General features: G+C 38.9%; 1 protein-coding gene across 15 annotated transcripts in view; it reads right to left on the reverse strand.

The window, feature by feature from the left end:
- ABCG2 (ATP binding cassette subfamily G member 2 (JR blood group)) overlaps window positions 722-22,816 on the reverse strand; it is a 141,363-nt gene continuing 119,268 nt past the window's right edge. For 9 of the 15 annotated variants that reach the window (NM_001348989.2, NM_001441211.1, NM_001348986.2 and 6 more), the window contains 7 exons: window positions 17,642-17,724; window positions 11,688-11,777; window positions 9,782-9,906; window positions 7,911-8,065; window positions 5,978-6,067; window positions 5,035-5,117; window positions 727-2,839 (listed from right to left, as the gene is read on the reverse strand). In NM_001348989.2, coding sequence (NP_001335918.1) covers window positions 2,692-2,839; window positions 5,035-5,117; window positions 5,978-6,067; window positions 7,911-8,065; window positions 9,782-9,906; window positions 11,688-11,777; window positions 17,642-17,724 — 774 coding nt within the window. In that variant the 3' untranslated portion in view covers window positions 727-2,691. Of the gene's footprint in view, window positions 2,840-5,034; window positions 5,118-5,977; window positions 6,068-7,910; window positions 8,066-9,781; window positions 9,907-11,687; window positions 11,778-17,641; window positions 17,725-22,816 lie in introns of all 15 variants that reach the window. The other 6 variants (NM_001348985.1, XM_011532420.4, XM_017008852.3 and 3 more) reach the window with 2 other exon arrangements.

Consider the following 22,816-nt stretch of genomic DNA (forward strand, 5'->3'; position numbering starts at 1 on the left):
AGCACATAAAATTTACCATCTTAACCATTTTAAAATTAAGGAACTTTTTTAAAGTGTGGTTTATTTTCTTATAAAGTAGAAATTTACTTAAGGATATACATACCCATATATAAGATATAAATTATATATACATTATATATATAATTATATAGATAGAAATTATATATAGGATATAATATATAGAGAGGATATAAAAATACAGAGAATATATATAATATATAGGGTACATATAATATATATGGATATCTATATCCTTAAGTACATTTCTACTTTATAAGAAAATAAACCATACTTTAAAAAAAGTTCCTGGCCAGGCGCGCTGGCTCAGGCCTGTAATCCCAGCACTTTGGGAGGCCGAAGCGGGTGGATCACGAGGTCAGGAGATGGAGACCATCCTGACTAACACAGTGAAACCCTGTCTCTACTAAAAATACAAAAAAAAAAAAATTAGCCGGGCGTGGTAGCGGGAGCCTGTAGTCCCAGCCATTACAGGCTGAGGCAGGAGAATGGCATGAACCCGGGAGGCGGAGCTTGCAGTGAGCCGAGATCGCGCCACTGCACCACAGCCTGGGCGACAAAGCGAGACTCTATCTCAAAAAAAAAAAAAAAAAAAAAGTCCTTAATTTTAAAATGGTTAAGATGGTAAATTTTATGTTATCTGGTTCCTACCACAACAAAAGCATATAAAGGTAATTTTAATATAAAAAAAGAATACATAAAATAGGATATAATTAAATTCTCATTTATTTAAAAAGTTAATAATTGTGGCTGTTTTGTTTCTTTTGAAGTATATTTTGTGTAAAAAGTATAGATAGATATTTCTCTCTGTGTAATAAGGGAAGGGTATATATAGAGAACTGTAAGGGACAGGTATGTGAAAAGCAGGAATTATACCAAGAACAGGAAAAACTGATTAATCTTCCTGATCACATAACCAAGAAAAAAGATAATGTGTTCCAAGATGACGCATTAATCAAATGTCATCCAAAAAGAAAAAAGTTCAAAGATAAAAATATAATGCCATGTTCCCAAATTGATGTTGTGACAGAATGTCAGGGCACCCACTGACAAACTAAATGAATTCCAAGATGACCAGTGTCAGGGCGTCTATACACCATGATGCCCCAGCTCAGTTAACTCCTGTAAGTGCTGAAAAGTATTTACTTTTAAAAAAGAGGGCTAGATGAAATGTGGTCTCCTGAATTGAATCCTAGAACAATGAAAGAATATTAGTGGAAAAGTGGTGAAATCTGAATATTGTGTGCAGTTTAATTAACAGTGATTGTACCAATGTTAACTTGTTAGCTTTGACAAATGCATCTTGCTATATAAAATGTTAACATTAAGGGAAGCTGAGCAAAGAGTAGACAGGAACTTTCCTCACTATCTTTGCAACTTTTCTGTCAATCTAAAATTATTTCCAAATTAAAAGTTTATTAAAAAGTGGGGAGATAATTAAGTATCAACCTATGCACACAGAAACACAACACTTGGCTGTAGCAATGTTCTCATAACAGCAACAGAGGGAAATACATCAAGTGTCATTTCAAAAATAACCCAGGGGTAAGGAAGGAAGTAGTGACTGGGAGAATGGCTGAGTAGGCTTTTGTGTGCTACAATCTTCTATTTCTTGACCTGAATTGATGGTTGCACATGTGTGTTCATTTTAATTCACTGAACTATATTTTTTGGTACATTACCCTTCAACTAAAAAAATAAAATTAAAACATTTCCCTATTACTGATGAAGGTTAGAATGAAGAGAACATAAGGTATATAAGTAGGAAAGAAAACCTATGTAGGGACAGATGTTAATAGTTATTAAATCCTAAGTAAAATTTTCAGAACTTGGAAATTACCAAATCCAGGAGTGGTCAGATTCCTTTATGAAGGTAGATCTGGAGCTACTTAGGCCAGATTTTTGTATTTTAGCAAAGTTCCTCAGATGATTCTGACGCACACCTGGATTATAAACCACTAAACCACTGAACTACCCCAAGAAGGTTACGTGACCTCCCAGAGCTAGAATGTTCCAGAAATGGTGCAAGAATTCTATTACTGGACTCCTGGCCCTCTACTCTACCCACAGTTCCAAACCCTCAGCCAAGATTCCTGAGATATTATACCACTAGACAGGAATATCAGTAAGTTCTATTAACTTTAATGTGCTTATCAAAAAGATTTTTTTTCTATCACGGTGGCTTTTTTTACCCTATAAGACAGAATCTTTTTTCCAACATATTTTCAATTTTACATTTCCAGTATAGCATTAATACATTTGTCATTTATTAAATAATGGCAAACCATAGCATCATAAAGTATTAAGACTGAAGGGCTACTAACCTACCTATTCATTTTAAAGATGAGGAAACAAATGCCAGAGACAGTAATAACTTGTCAGGAGTTTCCAGAATTCAATTCTCCTTTTTTAGATTAATAAATTAGACCAGATTTCTTCCCCATGGTTACTGTCTGAGGAGATTAACTAATATGCGATACATGATGTCTTGGGTTCTTTCATGTTTAATTCAGTTTGTTGTGATTTCTAAAAATGTATCTCTTTAAAACAATTGCTGCTGTGCAACAGTGTGATGGCAAGGGAACAGAAAACAACAAAAAAACTTGATTGAATACTTCAATCAAAGTGCTTCTTTTTTATGTGAGGATAAATCATACTGAATTAAGGGGAAATTTAAGAATATTTTTTAAGAAATAACAATTTCAGGTAGGCAATTGTGAGGAAAATAACAATCATACAAGCCAAGGCCACGTGATTCTTCCACAAGCCCCAGGGTGAGAGATCGATGCCCTGCTTTACCAAATATTCTTCGCCAGTACATCTGAAATTAAACAGAAAAAGAATATAACTTCATTCCTAGCATCCGTCAAATGTTACTCAGTATATCCACTGTTCCTTAAAGGAGCCTAAAATTGAACCAAGCCTTTAATAATTACCCCTTCAGATATCATAGCTAACAGTCATTGTGTGTTTACAATTTTGCTAGACACTAACAAACAACATGGACCTAACTTAGTTAATTCCTAAAACAATCCAATGTGATAGACATTGTACACACTTAAAAGATGAGGGGACTAACGTTTAAGGAACTTGACCAGGTTTACAGAGTCATACTTTGAATCACCAAGTTTTTAGCCTACTCAAATTTATTGGTTTCCAAATCTGTAATGCTGCTCTCTCCAAAGGGCAGAAATATTTATCAAGTAATAGTTCCCTTATCCCTGATAAAGAAAATATCTGCTTAAACAGATGACACCTGTGACCCTTACTAAGATGATCAAAGCTCTTACAGTACTCTTTACGCTTACAAATAGCCATAAAAAACAACACAGGTTAAGAATTCCAAAACCAGGAAAAGAGGTGTGCATGGGTTTCCTGCCAAAGTCATGTTCTGTCAGCTCTTGCACCAAGACTGTGAGGAGCATCACAGATACTCAGGTACAAGACATTCCCAGCAGACTCAGCTATCAGGTTTAAGCCTTAAGTGGCAGCTAGAGTAGAGTAGGATGAACTCCTTGCCACAGGTTAGGAAATCATCTTGTACTAAAAAGACCTTGGACAGCCACAGTTACTGCCTGATACCATTTTTGTGCAACTCTTGGGAATTCAGCAATTCCAAAAACATACATAGCCTCTCTTTTACTATAAGAATAGCTTCCTCCTGGCCGGCTGCAGTGGCTCATGCCTGTAATCCCAGCACTTTGGGAGGCCAAGGCAGGTGGATCACGAGGTCAGGAGACGAGACCATCCTGGCTAACATGGTGAAACTCCATCTCTACTAAAAATACAAAAAATTAGCCAGGTGTGGTGGTGGGCACCTGTAATCCCAGCTACTCAGGAGGCTGAGGCAGGAGAATGGCGTCAACCCGGGAGGTGGAGCTTGCAGTGAGCGGACATCGTGCCACTGCACTCCAGCCTCGGTGACAGAGCGAGACTCCATTTCAAAAAAAAAAAAAAAAAAAAAGGAATATCTTCCTCCTTTGTCTACTGAGGATGAAGCCTCATCTTCCGTTACCATGAAGCCCATGGTGGTTCCTCCTTATCTGGTCCCATTTTTCCCATCCACTTCATCCTGACCACCCTGATCAAGCCAAAAGAGAGGGACAGAATAAAGAAAACCTCTCTGTACAGAGGATTTCCTGTGGACAATTCAAAAGAGTAATTTGTCCTGTTATTCAGAATTATTTATATTCTACTTGAACATTCAGGAGATTGAGGATAATATCAACATTCTCTTTTCTCTCATTAATTTATGTATCAAAATCAAACCATTAGCAATCATAGAAAAGGCACGTGTTACTAAATTCTTAAAACAATATTATCCAGTGTTATTAGAATCTGTTTTAACATTATGTGAAAACGGGGTTTTTTTCTCAACTTATTCAAGTGTTTCTTGTTTTTTTAGAGGATAAATCGATTGATAGGGAGTATTCCAAGTTAATTTAAAAACAACAACACATGACTATGCGGCCTTTGATTTCATGATGTCTTCCAAATGCATGAGGCAGTGGAAGTGCCAGGATCTTGGCAGGGAAATGTTTACTTTCTTTGTGCTATTGCTGCCTATTTCATTCTTACTACTGTCCGTGGGTTGGGCTCAGAAGTATCCGTGAGTTCAGGGACCCATAGATTTCATATAATCCATACAGTTCAGGAACCATAAGCCCTTGATAAAATATCAAAGCACCTCACTTCAATCTCAAATGCTCTGAAAACCAAGAATTCAAACCCACAATCAAAATATCAAAAGGATCTTTTAAAAGGCCCAAAACAATAAGAAACAAACGTAAGAAACATTGCTGCATGTTAAAGACAATTTTTACTGCAGCAGAATACTGAGGGGTTGTGCCACATGTTCACATGCATTCGCGCACAACTCACTTTATGGATGAGAAAACGTAGGCTCGGAAAAATTCAGTGCCCCTGGAAGGACTCATACAGATCTAAGCCCAGTAGCCTTTATACATCACACCATGGTAGTAACAAAACCCATTTTGACACTGAACAAAAACTTACGTTGCATAGTTACAAGGATTGTTTCCTGTTGCATTGAGTCCTGGGCAGAAGTTTTGTCCCAAAAATTCATTATGCTGCAAAGCCTATAACACAAGTGGGAGCAGGGCAAGGTAAACAGTTTTAAATTTCAAGAAGTTTCCAAAGAGTTATCACAATCATGCCCTCTGAGTTTAATCTTTATTGTTATTTCTAAAAACATATTCACAGTCTTTGTCTCACCAAACCAACTAATGTTATTTTCCCTGGCAATCAAGAAACCTAGGGTTGGGATTTTGGCTTCCAATACAAAAGAAGTAAAGTATTTTGCCAAAGCGGGAGACCTCTGGCTATACTACACCATAGCTCCTTCCTCCTTCTCTCCCCAATTTTGTAACTCCATAAACATTCTAATTAAAATGATACAGTGGTGCTCAATGAGTATTGTTAATTTACAGTGACAATCTTTCGTTCTTGTTTGTTTTCATTAGAACCAGTTGTAATTCTTGGATGTTAGAAGCTTGGTTATACTATATTAAGACACAGATAGTTTACTTTGGAGTTAATGAGCTTGCAAAAGCCAATATGACTATGCTTATTATATGGTCTTTGCTCTTCTAATTTTCCTTTCATTATAAACATATGTATTCTAGTGTCCCATCCTCTCATTTACTTCCTTATTGAACTGAAATGCAACAATGTGTTTTTCATCAATTAGCCAATCTTTCTCCTTTACTAGGAGGTATCTCCCCTAGCCCTTTAAAGGATGACTGAGGAAAATAGCAAATGACTCCCCAGCCTTGTGTTAACCAAGGCTAACAGGAAATTCTCATTCCTTGCTCCTAAAAGGGAGTTTCTGGATGGGAGACTTTCACAGCTCATGGTCAGGGAAATGAGATGAGGACACTTGATTTCCATTGTTCCTAGCTTGGGAATGCAGTCACAGTGACAGACAAGGAAGACATACCGTAAATCCATATCGTGGAATGCTGAAGTACTGAAGCCATGACAGCCAAGATGCAATGGTTGTGAGATTGACCAACAGACCTGAAAAAATCTACAAAAAGCAAATACTAAAAGTCAGGCCTGCTTGAGTAATTTCATGCAGAATTCTAGAGAATACCCTCTTCAAGTCCCTACCACTTTGTAAGTATTTCTTTTAAAACCAACTCTTTCTTGAAGTTCTCTCCACTTACTCAAGACACTCACTAAACTCTTCTCCTCTGCATGTGCACATCTCTATATAGCTGAAGTCATTTACGGTTTTAAAGGAAGAACAAAATATCTAATACATATTAGATATTCCATTTAATCGTAAGATCCTCAATTGTCAAGACTATGTACTCAACTTTATTTGTAACTGCAAATAATGGAAGGTCAAGAAGCACTGACTATTCTAATGACACAACCACTATGTGTGCTCACCAATACACCTGGCATTGGAAGAATCTATACCAGATAAATCCTGAGCGTCACATGCCCACTGCACCTCACATAAGATTTGTTATTTACAAAGGTTTGCAGTCTATATCCATATGACTTTAGCAAGGATATGAGGTTCTGAATGCAGGCTTAACATAACCCAAAGTCTAGAACTGATACAGAGTATAATGTAGTGAGAGGTAGAGCATAAGCAGGATCAGTGCTATCATTTAAAGCTGCCAAAAAGCAATAGCGCAATGGAGATGCCAGGAAGACCTGCTGAAGATTGACAAGAGAACTAATTGCCACCACAAGCATACTGGTATATGCATAACAATGATGATGTTGCTGGTATGACAATATATATTCAGACTTGACCTGACCAAGTGCTTAGCATATAACACAGCATCTCTGAGTAAAATACAGTTTTATGACTAGTTTTTAATGTTCTGTGTAGAAATCTTTAAATAATAATAAATCAAACAAAACATTTGTATTTGCTGGATGACAGTATGGGAAATATAAACAAGCCTATCACTTCCTCATTAATGTTTGCATTGGTAGTTTTCAAATCCAGAAATGGAAGAATTAAACTATGGCAAGAGTTTGTGCTAATTATTTTTATTTAAAGGCATCTACTCCTACTCTAGCAGACAGGACATGTTCCTGTCAAGTATGATGTTGAAGGGGAAAAAAATGTAACTGGTTTCATTCACCTGTTGATTCCTCTATGTGCAAAATTTAGGGGCATGTAAGATTAGGATTAAGTAACCATTAAAAAAAAAAAGATAAGCAGAAACATATTGAATGTCAGGAACGAAACCCAGAAAGGAGGTACTTAGTAGTGTGTGAACTCTGCAATTTTCCAATATTTTTAAAACACTCTTTTTCAAAATACGAGAGGGAACCAAAATAGACTACTCAAACCATACTCTGTTCTGCTTCTTATGAGGCTTAATATGTGTCTTGGAAAACAGTATTATAAATCCAACCAAACTATCTCTGCTGGTGGGTAAACAAGCTAGCAGTTCAATGCTGTATGTGGGAACTTTAAAACATAAATTAAAAATGTTAAAAAAAAAATAAACTAGCAGTTCTCTAATGCCAGCATGAAAGTCGGGCAAATAATCTGTAATTCTCAAGAGAATCTGCCGATCAAATGTCTTCTGATTTTTGAAATTCCAATTTATTAAGGTTTCATAATAGGTCACAAAGAAACGCCTTTTAAAAGCTCATTAGTAACAATATTAACTAAAATTATTGGAACTTCATTAGAACAGTAGCAAAAAAGGTTGGATAAGGGCAAAGAGGAAAGTTAGTATATTCTCTAACATAATCTATTCCAGTAGATGGCCTTAAGTAAAGCAGAGCCCCATTTACAGAATCCTCAAAACAGGTTTTACATGACAAGTGAATGTGCAGGAAGAAATGAAGGAAAAAAACAATTCCTTATCAGAGCAAACACAGTTCAGACTCACCATCATAAACACAAAACAGATGGTCATGAGAAGTGTTGCTACAGAAACCACACTCTGACCTGCTGCTATGGCCAGTGCCATGGAACTGGCTGAATAAGCCACCATCATAAGGGTAAACATCATAACGAAGAAGGCATCTGCCTTTGGCTTCAATCCTTAGTCAGAAAGAGAAGAAGTAGTTAACCCAACTGCCTAGGTCACCGTATGTTTGGGATTGCTTATTGTGCAAATTTAACACTAATATTTTGAGAAACTAATATTAGAATGAAAAAAAGTCATCCACTCTCCAACCACCCTCGGTCTCCAATGTTGTGTCTGTCCATGTAACTGCATAAAGTTCTCTTATAACACTTATGTGCCATTATGTATAATTACAGACAATTTCTGAGTTCCTGAGATGAAGAGCTACAGGCAGTACAACTAACCAAAATTCAACTGCCTTCTCTTTTCACAGGAAACTCATCAATAGCACATTCATTTGCCCATACATCCTCACATTACTCATTGTGTGCTGTAACTTTGTGAGTGAAGGGACTGGGACGATCGGGATGCCATGACCTCACAGTGGTTGTAGTATCTGGGGGAGGGGGAGGGGGCCTCCATAACCCAAGCCTCCCCAGACAGATCACCACATCACTCTGGATTGAAATGAGACTAAATTACGTTTCATAAACTGCTTTCTAAACTGTAGTGAGCTAATACTACAGGTAATACAATCTGAAGATTTGAAACAGCCACAAGAACAACAATCAGGAGTCTGGAGATCTAGATCCTAACCCTGATTGTTTAGGACACACCTATTATTTGTCAAATGGAAGGTTTAAACTCAATCGGTAGTTCTTATCTTGTAGTGTCAAAATAGATATTTCCGGGGGTTTTGTGTGTGTGCATGTGTTTATCAGTGAAATATATGGAAATCAGATGCAAGGAGCCTGGAGTGAAGCCTGAGCATAATGCACAAATGAGTCTCCACATCTACCAAACAAGTATTTTTTTTTTAATTAACAAGCCCCAAAAGGCACCGTCTTTCTCTCATTAAAGAAGCAGGGATGGGTAATATATATTAAATAAATACATATATATATATTTAATCATTTTATGTATCTCTAAGAGATTAAATATATTTAATCATTCTATATATCTCTAAGTGTGTGTGTGTATATATATATACATATATAGAGAGAGACAGGGAGAGATAGATAGATAGATAGATAGATAGATAGATAGATAGATAGACAGATAGAAAACATAGATAGGCTATAAATATCCCAGCTTCTCCAGCATAGTCTCAAAGTTTTATAAATTCTTTCCATGTTTGTGTATAACACAAGCATCTCTCAGTAAAGTGTAGTTTTATAAGTGGTTTTAAAAGTTCAGGCTGGGCACATCCGCTCATTCCTATAATCCCAGCACTTTGGGAGGCTGAGGTAGGAGGACTACTTGAGGCCAGGAGTATAAGACCAGCATGGGCAACACAGTGAGACCCAATCTTTACCAAAAACTCCATCTTTCTGTGTGCCGGTAGTCCTAGCTACCCAGAGGCTGAGGTAGGAGGATCACTGGAGCCCAGGAGGTTGAGGCTGCAGTGAGATATGATCACCACTGCACTCCAGCCTGGGTGACAGAGCAAGACCCTGTCTCAAAAAAGCGAAACAAAGCAAACAAACAAAAAAGTTCAGTTGGGAAACAGTCTTGACAAAAATAGCTGACAGTGAACAACTGTTTCAGAGAGTGCAAAATGGACAGGTGTTTCCTTATCTCATGGTTTGGTTTATAGTTTTGAGAACCAAAAATATGCTTGCAAGGTGCAACTGACTTCACCCATAGGCAAGACTAAAGACATGTCCTTTTTTGTTTTGTTACATACTTACCTAACATGAAGTACACTATACAGGTAAATATAATACTTGGTAACATCCTCATGGGTAATAAATCAGATAACAGTTTTCCAAGGAAATAAGATGACACTCTGTAGTATCCGCTGATGTATTCATGTCTATAGAACAAAAATACGTATCATACATCCAAGATTAGTTTAAGAAGCCACAGGGCAGGCTAGACTTGTCTGTTACAGACCTCTGCTGACAGCAGGGGTTGAACAAGCCAGCTTCCCACATCCTCAGGGCTAGACCCACTATGCATGCCCATGAATACCTTGGGTGCCAGCCTCCCTGAGAAAGCATCCCATGAAGCTCTGCGCACAGCCCCTCTTCTCATGACACTGTTCCCTCCTATTGCTGCTCTTTCTAGCTCCTGAACACTCAGTCCAGGGAAACAGATTCCACACATCCTCCCTCTCTTCAAAGAATGCTTCTTTTCCTTCTTTGACGGGGGCTTTCCTTGAAGAACAGCACTTCAGTAGCCGATTTTGGCAGGAATAGAAGCTTTTCTTTTTCCCTATTTCTGATGAGGAAGGTGGCCTGTTATTCTCCAAGCCCCCTAGTGCAGCTTCAGATGACTAAGCTCTTCTTACTTCTTCTACTCCCAAGTTAAAAAAAGAAAAAGACTTCTTCTTTCAATGATCATGTCTTCCAGCCATACATCCCTGTCAACTACCAAATTGTAATCTTTCCTCTTCCTGACATCTTTCTCCCACAATTCCAAACTCTTCCACTTCCTTCATTATTTCCCTTTCTAATAATTCCTATATGTGACATGTACATTTGGGAAAATGTGATCCATCCTTGAAAAATACCCAGCCTGGGAAACATAGTGAGACCTTCTCTCTACAAAAAAATTAAAAAAAAAAAAAAAAACAGCCAGGCGCCCCGGTGCAGTGGCTCACGCCTGTAATCCCAGTGCTTTGGGCGGCCAAAGGGGGTGGATCACCTGAGGTCAGGAGTTTGAGACCAGCCTGGCCAACATGGCGAAACCCCATCTCTACTAAAAATACCAAAAAAATTAGCTGGGTGTGGTGGCGGGCACCTGTAATCCCAGCTACTTGGGAGGCTGAGGGAGGAGAATCGCTTGAACCCGGGAGGTAGAGATTGCAGTGAGCCAAGATTGCACCATTGCACTCCAGCCTGGGAGACAGAGCGAGCGAGACTCTATGTCAAAAAAAAAAAAAAAAGCTAGGCATGCCAGTTACTCAGGAGGCCGAGATGGGAGGACTGCGTAAGCCCCGCAGGTCAAGGCAGCAATGAGCCATGATCATGTCTCTGGACTCCAGCCTGGGCGACAAAGCAAGACCCTGTCTCCAAAAAATAAATAAATAAATAAATAGGAAAATACAATAAATTAAACCAGGCTGCTCTTTACTGTAAGAATGCCTTCCGGCTCGTGCCACTTCCCTGGTCCACCGAGGGCTAAGCATGGTCACGTTCTTTGTCGACTTAATCTCCCCACTTCCAAGTTGCTGCTTAATCTCTACCAAGCCCCTCAAACTTTTCTTGTGAAGGTCATCAGTATTTACTAAAAACAAAATATACTTTTCAGTCCCTTTATTGCTTGCTCTCTCCAACATTTGGATTTTCTGACTGTACTCAAATCTAGAAAAACTCTTTTCTCTGGATATCAGGTCCCAAAGGCTCAGGATTTTCTTCCCTACCTCTGGCTGCTTTTTCTCAATGAATATTGGTAACCCCTATACATATTTTCAAAACATCATGTTGTATATGATCAATATATACAATTTTTATTCATCAATTTAAAAATAAATTTTAAAAAGTACTGGTAATCCTCCGGATCCCATCCTTGGCCCCAACCCCAGATGTAATCAGTCTAACCAATAGCCCCTGCTGCTGGACAGCCCCGTTCCCAGAACAAAGACCTACTCACATGAAGAGCTTCTTCTCTACCACAAAGAGTTCCACGGCTGAAACACTGCTGAAACACTGGTTGGTCGTCAGGAAGAAGAGAACCCCAGCTCTGCCATGAAAAGGGGAACCAAATCACCGCAGTCAACTCAGCATTCTTAGACAGATTTTCTACCCACAAAACTCTTTCCACAAATGACAGTGTATAAAGTTAAGCAGGAAAAAAAGGGAAACTGTTCTGGTTGGAACAGGGAAGCGTGAACCCCATCAAGCCTCTCCCCATCTCTTATGTCTCCACAGTGGTACTCATTTTGAAACTCACAGTCTTGGATTGTTGTGGAATGAATTGCGTCTCCCCCCACCAAAATTCATATGTTGAAGCCCCAACCCCCAATGTGATGGTATTTGAAGATGGGCCCTTTGGAAGGTAATTAGGTTCAGATGAGGTTACAGGATAGGGAGGTGGGGAGAGTGTAATGGGAAGAGCGTCCTAATAGGAAGAGACACCAGAGCTCTTGCTCTGCCACACAAGGAACAGCAAGGAGGCAAGTCTGCAAGCCAGGTAGAGGGCCCTCACCAGAACCCAGCAATGCTGGCATCCTGATCTCAGACTTTCAGACTAGAACTGAGAGAAAATACATTTCTGTTGTTTAAGCCACTTGCTCTATGGTATTTTGGTATGGCAGCCAGGCCAATACATAATTTTAACTAACAAAAATGCCAAGTACCATTCCTAATGTACAAACAGAAAAGTGGTAAGCTAAATAAAGTCTGTAAAGATTAAGAAATTCAATTAGCCACTTTGATTTTAAAGTTGAACAAAGAATGTAAGTCATGTGGAAGCAAAATGAAAGACAGTGAAGGGAACCTTCAATCAACCCCTTATTATATGCATAATCTACATGCACCACACTACCATCAGCAGGGCCGTGACATTATCCTTGACCACGCTAAGACAGCCAGCCCTCTATGAGGTTTCCAGAGTGCTCAGAGGAAACCAAGTGACACTTACTGATAAAGAAAAATCTAATTTGTGTATCGTAATGAAAAGGAACACTATTAGTGCTTGTTTCTCAGTGAAGTAACTAGATTTAAAAAGGAAAATGTTGGCCGGGTGCAGTGGCTCATGCCTGTAATCTCGGCACTATGGGAGGCCGGGTCGGGAGGATCATGAGGTCAGGAGTTCAAGACCAGCCTAACCAACATGGTGAAACCCTGTCTCTACTAAAAATACAAAAATTAGCTGGGCGTGGTGGCAGGTGCCTGTAGTCCCAGCTACTCAGGAGGCTGAGGCAGGAGAATCGCTTGAACCTGGGACGTGGAGGTTGCAGTGAGCTGAGATCGCGCCACTGCACTCCAGCCTGGGTGACAGAGCGAGACACTGTCTCAAAAAAAAAAAAATTAAAAAATAAATAAATAAAAAGGAAAATGCTAAGTTAATCTACACTTTGATACAAATATGCATTTTATGAAAGCATGCCAACATCCCTGAAACACCATAACAAAACAATATAATTGACAGTAAGGGTGTGAGTTGAAACTGAAAAAGAGGTAAGTGACACATCATTTAAATGGCGTAAAAACAAGAGAACATTTTAAAAAATGCAAACCCAAGTGAACAACACAATTACATTAAAAGAAAAAAAAGAGTCCATAGATACCTAAAGAACAAAGATCTAAGGGAACAGGCTAGGGTCTTTTTTGTTTTATTTTATTTTTAGAGACAGAGCTGCCCTCGGTCACCCAGGCTAGAGTATAGTGGCATGATCATAAACTCACTGCAACTGAGTTGAACTCCTGGCCTCAAGCAATCCTCCCAGCTTGGCCTCCCAAAGTGCTGCAGTTACAAATGTAAGCCACGGTGCCCAGCCAGAGCAGTTTTAAAAGTATGTACATATAATTAAAATGAGTGAAAAATAGCCAGGCCTGGTAGACATGCAGTTATCTCACTTTCTGTACACAAATAAACCTAATATCAAGTAAAAAGCTAATTTCAGAACATGGAACATAGCAAAGATTCAATTCAATTTGTTGTCTTAAATCTATCAGTACAGTAATGTCCATAATGATTCTGAAAAAGTAGACAATGGAAACGTTCCTTCTAAATACTAAGATGATTTATTTTAAACACAGTTTTTTCTTATTAAGGAAGTTAATTCATTCTAATTCTTTCAAGGTGGTAATCCACATCTGTTATATCTACTTATTGGTCTGAATATTTTTTATTTTGATTTTTTAAATTATAAATTGGCATATTATGGTTGTATATATTTGTGGGGTACCAAGTTATATAATTCATGAATCATAAGTGTGAAATAATTAAATCAAGCTAATTAACACATCCATCGTCTCAAACATTTATTTTTTGTGGTAAAAGTATCTTAAATTTTAGCAATTCTGAAATTTACATTATTATTTACTGTGTTCACCACATTGTGCAATGTATCTCCAAAGAAAAATCCTTATTCCTCCTGTGTAACTGAGGTTTTGTACCCTTTGACCATCATCTCTCCATTCCCCACACACCTCTAGCCTCTGGCAACCACCATTCTACTGTCTCTTTCAGTTCCATTGTTTCAGATTCCACATTAAGTGAGATTATGTGACATTTCTGTGCTTAGCTTTCTGCGTTTGGCTTATTTCACTTGGCATAATATTCTCCAATTACATCCATGTTGTTGCAAATGACAAAATTTCTTTTGTTTTTCCACTGTGTATATATACCACATTTTCTTTATCAAATCAGACCCTTCGGGTGATTCCGTATCTTGGCTATTGTGAACAATGCTGCAATAAATATGAGGGTGCAGAAATTTCTTCAATAAACTGATTTCACATCTTTGGGGTAAATATCTAGAAGTGAGATGACTGGATCTGAATACTGTTTTTAAAGTATACCTTTTCCCTTAATACACACTAATTTGTTTAGCTATCACCACAACTCTGTAAAGCAGTTATTCCAGAGGTAGCTATTAATTCAAAGATGCTTATACTCTACATATGATTAAAACCCAGTTTCTCAGTTACACGGGTTAGAGAAAGAGCAGAGAGTGCTTTCCTCTCTCAGAGAATTCATCCCCAAAGAAGAGAACTAAACCACTGGCCTCGAGCAGTTTTAAATTATGAAGTACTAATATTCACCCCTGAACAAAACTTTGAGAACCTGTTTCCAGAGATGATGCTGAAACATTTTTTCCTCATCAATAAATCACTAATCATCCCAGGAGGGATTAAATCATATACACAGGCCACTTTAACATAGTCCAAATGCTTATTTAAAAAATGATACTGGGGTCAACGAGAAGCAGTGGGAGGAAGAACATCAGGAAAAATAGCTAATGCATACTGGGCTTAACACCAAAGTGATGGATTGATAGGTGTAGCAAACCACCATGGCACACGTTTAACTATGTAGCAAACCTGCACATCCTGCACATGTACCCTAGAGCTTTGGGGGAAAAAAAAAAGATAGCAAGCTTAAGTCACAAATACAAATTATGAGCCCAGGAGTTCAAAGCTGCAGTGAGCTATGACTGCACTACTGCACACCAGCCTGGGCAATATTGTGAGATTCTGTTTCAAAAACAAACAAATTAAAATAAGATTAATGCCCTATTTCTCCAGAAAACATCTGAAGAAACACCTAAAGTTCTTCTTTATTTCTCTGGATTTTTCTACCAAGAGCTTTAATGGCCAGATTTCCAGTCCTCTTCAAAGTTCCAGTTGAGGACCAGGTTACTCCATGTCCTCTCCAAATGCTTCCTGCTGCACAATATAAAAGGCCCACTGCCTTTAGATCCTGTGATATATTCTGTGCTGGGTTAAGACATGGCATCTACACAGCACACAAACCATCAATTACTAGCAAGTCTGGAAATAATCCAGATACCTCAGCCCTCAGGGAAAGTAAAAACAACAATGACATCACTCTGGTAAACTGCTGTTTAATAACACTCTCATCGTAGAGTAACACTATCTGATTCCATACAAAAGAATTTATTTTACTTGAGTGAGGAACCAACTTTTATGCTTATTCTTTAAAAAATAATCAGCCTTTCCAGACATCAAAATAGGCTGCACATAAGCGTCTTCAACTTTCCTCAATAGTAAAATGGGGATACTACCATCTACCCCCTCTAAATCACTGGGTGGTAACCTGAGACTATGGACAGCAAGCACTACGGAGCACAGTATCTGCCACAAGTGTTCTCCATACATGAAATAACCAGAACTCTGAGGGCTGTGAAATTCCTGAGTGCTTATGTTCAGAACACAATACAGTCGATAAAAAGTCCCCTCATAAAATGAGGTTTTTAAGGGTCCACTGTGACTGAAACTAGGTAAGGATCACAACACTAACAAAAGTGCTAACCATATAACAGGAAAAGCTGAGTCCCACCCCCATCACACCCCTAAGTCAAACATATATATTTAAAAAGTGACAGAAATTAGCTCACAGGCAACAAAAGAAGAAATTGATCAATTGGACTACATCAAAGTTAAAAATGTTTATGCATCAAAGGACACTATCAATACTGAAAAGACAACCCACAGAGTGGGGAAAAATATTTGCAAATTATGTATCTGATAAGGGATTAATATCTCCTCAAAAATATAAAGCACTCCTACAACTCAACAACAAAAAAACAAACAATTCAATTTTAAAATGGGCAAAGGACTTGAATAGACATTTCTCCAAAGATCCAATGGATCTCTACTATTTAAAAGGGAGAAAAAGAAAAGTGTTGGTAAGGATATGGAGAAACTGGAACCCTTGTGCACTGCTGGTAAGAATGTAAAATGGTACGGCCACTGTGGAAGACGGTATAGTAGTTCCTCAAAAAAATTAACAGAATTACTATATGACCCAGAAATTCTAATTCTGGGTATATATCCGAAGAATTGAAAGCAGGAACTAAAATAGGGTTTTTTTTGTTTGTTTTTTTAAGAGACAGGGTCGAACTCTGTCACCCAGGCTGGACTGCAGTAGTGCAATCATAGCTCACTGCAACCTAGAACTCCTGGGCTCAAGCAATCCTCCCACCTCAGCCTCCCGAGTAGCTGGGACTACAGACACATGCCACCACACCTGGCTGAAAGAGATATTTGTACACCTAGGGAGCACTGTTTACAACAGCCAAAAGGTGAAAGCAACCCAAGTTTCCATCTATAGATGAATGGAAAAACGAAATGTGGTATGTACATACAATGGAATATTATTCAACCTTACAACGGAAAGAAATCTGACACATGCTACATGAATGAGCCATAAAGACAACATGCTAAAGGAAATGAGTCAGTTACCAAAGAATATCTACTGTATGATTCCACTTATATGAGGGTCTTAGAGTAGTCAAGTTCAGAGACAGAAAGTAGAATGATTGCTGCCAGGGGTTAGGAGAGGCAGATATGAGATGGGAAGTTATTGCTTAATGGGTACAGATATTCCACTTGAGAAGACAAAAAGAATTCTAGAGTTGGATGGTGGTGATAGTTGCATAACAATGTAAATGTACTTAATGCCACTGAACTGTACATTTAAAAATAATTGGGCCAGGTGGAGTGGCTCACGCCTGTAATCCCAGCACTTTGGGAGGCCAAGGTGGGTGGACCCACCTGAGGTCAGGAGTTCGAAGCCAGTCTAGCCAACATGGTGCGACCCCGTCTCTACTAAAAATACAAAAATTAGCTGGGCGTGGTGGTGGATGTCTGTAGTCGAGGCTACTTGGGAAGCTGAGGCAGGAGAATTGCTTGAACCCGGGAGGCGGAGATTGCAGTGAGCTGAGATCGCGTCACTGCACTCCAGCCTGGGCAACAGAGCATGACTCTGTCTCAAAAATAAACTGACTCATCCTACCCTCAATAAAAGAATGACATTTACACTATACTTGTCTTAAATTCAAATTCTTAATGGATTTCAATAAGCTTGAAGAAAGTAACAGCATTTTCTGAAAATCAAGATCCAAATTTACTTACCTGTTCTGGATTCCAGTAGAATCATTTTTTAGCCCAAAGTAAATGGCACCTATAACCAGTCCCAGTACGACTGTGACAATGATCTTTTCAAAAAGAAAAATGCAAAAAAAGGGGAAGAGTTTCAATTAGAGATAAAAACTTATACACACCATTTATTAGTATAATATATGGTTACATAATCAGATCTCTCCATTAAGATAAACACTCAATGGCTTGGCCAACGTCCCTGGGAGAAAATAAAACAGCATACATTATTTAGACTGCTTCCTAAGTTAAAAATTAAGTTATCTGTGCTTTGGGGAGAGTGGTAGGACACAAAGCACACTGCTGGAAAAGCTGGACTTCCTCCCATTGCACCACCCAGCAGTCAGTTCAGGGTCTGCTTCAGGTTACTGAGCTTGTGAATACCACACAGGATAGCAGAGCAATGCAAGTATGTAGCAAAGCAAAGTCCAAGTGCCTAAGAGTTTTGACCCTGAACTGAACTCTCAACCTTTGTGCCAATGAACATGAGTCATTTTATATTTCAAGAGGTTAAAGTGAAAACAGGATATCTTTATTCTTAACATTAAAAATAAATAAAAATTTTAAAGCACACATTAAAAAAATTCTAACAATGGAATTTTGCACAGTGAGGAAATAGGGGTGAGATGGAGCCTGCCTATCCAACCTCTAGGGAGTCCATGCCTGCACTGGAAAAGTGCATTGTCACTGTCACCAAAGCATTTGGCCGGCTTTCTCTGTGCACACACTGCATGCTTCCACTACCCATCTCCTGTCACTGCTTCCTCATCGCTTCAGCCAGTGAGGCCTATAGCCAATGCTGCAGACCTAAGCTGCCAATTCTTTGCTGTTCTCACCTATCTTCACCACTCAATTGATTTCTATAGCTCCTAAGGAGACTGGACAAACACCAATCTTGTTTCTAGGATAAAGGGTCTCTTAAGGACACTTCAATAAGCAAAGGGTTAATTTAAGGGTTACGTTATGATATAATTTATCTGAGAAAATCCTATTTATATTTACTCGTGAGTTAAATATTAAAAAACAAGAAATGGGCTGGGCGTGGTGGCTCATGCCTGTAATATCAGCAATTTGGGAGGCCGAGGGGGCAGATTGCCTGAACTCAGGAGTTTGAGACCAGCCTGGGCAACATGGTGAGACTCCGTCTCTACTAAAAAAAAACACACACAAAAAAATTAGCCAGGCATGGTGGTGTACGCCTGTAGTCCCAGCTACTCGGGAGGCTGAGGCACAAGAATCACTTGAACCCTAGAGGTGGAGGTTGCAGCGAGCCAAGATCATACCACTGCACTCCAGCCTGGGCGACAGAGCGATACTGTCTCAAAAAATAAATTGATAAATAAATAAGAATAAAAAAATAAGAAATGGTAATCTAAAGAAGACAAAATATCCTACCATATCTTGGAATCTTCAAAGTTAAAAAAACAAAATCTCAATACTGCAACAGTCTAATGGTATCAAGATTTAAAGTAACTGATCAAGGACACTTTTGGCATGAAGCAAACCGAACTGCAAAAACAGTACCATCATCTGTGATAACTAGTTTGTGAAGAACCTAGTCTGGAAAGAACATTATTCCAATGTTTCTACTTATGAGCTGTCTTTTAAAATTCACTTAGAAATTTTGGGGGGAAATCCATTATGCTGGCATATTTTCATTACCCTCAGAATATACTTCAACAGACCAAGCTTCCAAAATAAATGCAGATGACTGTATCAACAGGCATGCATGAATGTGCATACAAGAGTCTACGTTTTCACACAGTAAAACTTTTAAGAATATTCAATTCAGGATTTTTTTTTTTTTTTTTGAGACAGTCTCGCACTGTTGCCCTGGCTGGAGTGCAATGGCGCGATCTCGGCTCACTGTAACCTCCAGCTCCCAGGTTCAAGCAACTCTCCTGCCTCAGCCTCCCAAGCAACTGGGATTACATGCGCCCACCACCAAGCCCAGCTAATTTTTTGTACTTTTAGTAGACACAGGGTTTCACTATGTTGGCCAGGCTGGTCTCGAACTCCTGACCTCATGATCTGCCCGCCTTGGCCTCCCAAAGCACTGGGATTACATGCATGAGCCACCATGCCCGGCCCAGACTTTTCAAACTAAACATTCCAAATGCTTTGTCAAGTTTTCATTCAAACTTGTTATCTTATACTAACACTGAGTATTATGATTAAGATGTTTCCTAAAAGTTTCAAAGTTCTAAAAATGTTTTCAAAGTCAGCTTTCAAACATATTGACAAAATAATCAATCCCGTAACCTTGGCATGCTTTTATAAGGTGTGTCTGTGTTATTCTTTCTGGCATTAAAGAAAGGAAAACAAACAGGCAAACTAAACAGTGCACAATGGAGTGCACAGACCCCATCTGCTTCCAAGTTGAGCTGTTCAGAAAACCCTTGGCACCTTAAATGAACATGCAATCTTCTCATACAGATAATCCATTCATTCTAAGATTTTCCAAATACAACCTTTGGAAGATGCATTATCAGAGGCCAAGTTTGAATCATGTAAAGAAATAACTAGTTCAAGCCAAAGTGCAGCTGTAAAGCAACAGATTCAAGATTTATCAGTAGAGAGTCATAAAACATTTTAACAACTCAATTTTCAAGAACTCAGAATTAAAACAACATACAAAATCATAAACCCTGAATCAGGAATCATTAAGCTATAGCCCACAGGTCAAATAGGGCCAGCCACCTATCTTTGTTCACCTATGAGCTAAGAATGGTTTTTTACTTTATTTTTTATTATTTTTTAGAGACAAAGTCTCACTCTGTCACTCAGGCTGGAGTGCAGTGGTGTAATCATAGTTCACTGCAGCCTCAAACTTCTGGTCTCAAGCAATCCTCCCACCTCAGCCTTTTGAGTAGTTAGGACTACAGACATGCACCACCACACTTAGCTCATTTTATTTATCATTGAATAAAAAGTCAAGAATAATAATATTTCTCACAATATAAAATTTATATAAAATTCAAATTTCAGTGCCAATGTATAATGTTTCATTGGAATAAAATGAAAGTTACCTTTTTTTTTAAGATAGGGTCTTGGCCAGGCACAGTGGCTCACATCTGTAATCCCAGCACTGTGGGGGACTGAAGCGGGTGGACCCACCTGAGGTCAGGAGTTCGAAGCCAGCCTGGCCAACATGGTGCGACCCTGTCTATACTAAAAATACAAAAATTAGCTGGGCATGGTGGCGGGCACCCGTAGTCCCAGCTACTCGGGAGGCTGAGGCAGGAGAATTGCTTGAACCCGGGAGGCGGAGGTTACAGTGAGCCGACACAGCACCACTGCACTCCAGCCTGGGCGACAGAGCATGACTCTGTCTCAGAAAAAAAAAGGGGGTCTTGCTTTATTGCCCAAGCTGTTCTCACACTCTTGGCCTCAAGCATCCTTCTGCCTTGGTCTCCCAAAGTGCTGGGGTTATAGGCAGGAACCACTGCATCTAGCCAGCCTTTCGTTTATTATTGGAATACTGCCATGTTCATTTATTCATGTTATGAGCTTGGCTGCTTTCACACTAAAACGGTAGAGCTGACTACCTGAGACAAACACCACCTGATCTGCAAAGCCTAAAATATTTACTACCTGATCCTTTACAAAAAAAAAAAATATATATTGCCTACTCCTGCCCTAAGCTAATATTCCAGTTTTTCACAAATCGAAACAAAACTTGTCCTGCTAAGCAGATGCTCAGGGAGATACAAGGTCCTATTCTTAATCTAAGAGACTGCCACTGCTCTGAACATGGCTGGAATTCCTTTTGTGAAAGTGAGTTCACTGATGAGGCAGGGAAGCTAAACCTAGAGGCACTAGGCCAGGTGTTAGCATTGGAAGGAAGCCCAGTATCAAAACATGCAGAATCTCAGTGTGTGAAAAACAGCTCTGTGTTCTAATTATGCCCTCTCCAGTATTGCCACATAGGCGATTTGGACAAGACATTTATAAACCATTTTTTGAAGCAAGATAATTCAAGTTATTTTCCAAGTAAGAAAAATCTAATGCATACATCACACTAAAAAAGCAATTCATTACATTATTTCACTGTTGACAATAAGTAACCCAGGTTGATCCTACCAGACTGATTTCCAAATGATATCAAATCTATGCTCAAAGAATAAAATTTTGCCTTTAATTGATAGTATATAAAAGTGCCAGTGTTCTGACAGAAACACCAAATTATACGTACCAAAAACATTTGGAGAAATTAGCAATATGGTTCAACTAGGGATACAAGCTCTTAGATAAATTTATATATATACTTAACTAGCAGTATGGCTATACATACATATATGTGGCTATACATATATACATATATATACATAATTAGCAGTATGGCTTAACTAGGGATACAAGCTCTTAGATATATTTTATATATACTTAAGTATAGAAATTATGATGCACAAGTTTAAACGTCAGTAATATTTTACTAGAGCCAACAATGTGCCATCTTTTAGTACTCAACAGAAACTCAATATTGTTAATAAAAATAACAGCCCCAAAATAACCAGCTAAATTGACTTCTTTGAAGAATGGACCAATGAACTGGGAGTACTAATGTTTTGGGTGACAGAGGGGTTAAGAATAACAGAAAAGGCCAGGCATGGTGGCTCACACCTGTGATCCCAGCACTTTGGGAGGCCAAGGCAGGAGGATCGCTTGAGCCCAGGAGATCCAGACCAGGACAACATAGTGAGACCCTGTTTCTACAAAAAATTAAAAAATCAGCCAGGTGTTGTGGTGCACGGCTGTAGTCACAGCTACTCGGGAGGCTGAAGTGTGAGGATCGCTTGAGCCAAGAGTTTGGGGTTGCAGTGAGCTATGATTGCACCACTGCACTCCAGTATGAGTGACAGAGTGAGACCCAGTCTCTAAAAAAAAAAAAATGTGTAAAGAAAAGAATAACAAAAACCACAAGGAGTAATAATCACCAACTATCACAGAGCCAACCAAGGAACAAAGAAACATTATCTCATTTTGATTAACAGAAAGTTAATCTAACAATGAATAGCCTTGTTCTGTGAACTCAAATTTGCTTACTACATTTGTTTCACCTGTAAACTGTCTAAGGAAGGTAAATGACAAGGAACAGCACTTTGCACACAGGCTCTTCCCTTGGAGTGGCCAGCACATACTCCCTTTCAG

Source organism: Homo sapiens, chromosome 4 (assembly GCF_000001405.40).
Source record: "Homo sapiens chromosome 4, GRCh38.p14 Primary Assembly".
NCBI lineage: Eukaryota > Metazoa > Chordata > Mammalia > Primates > Hominidae > Homo > Homo sapiens.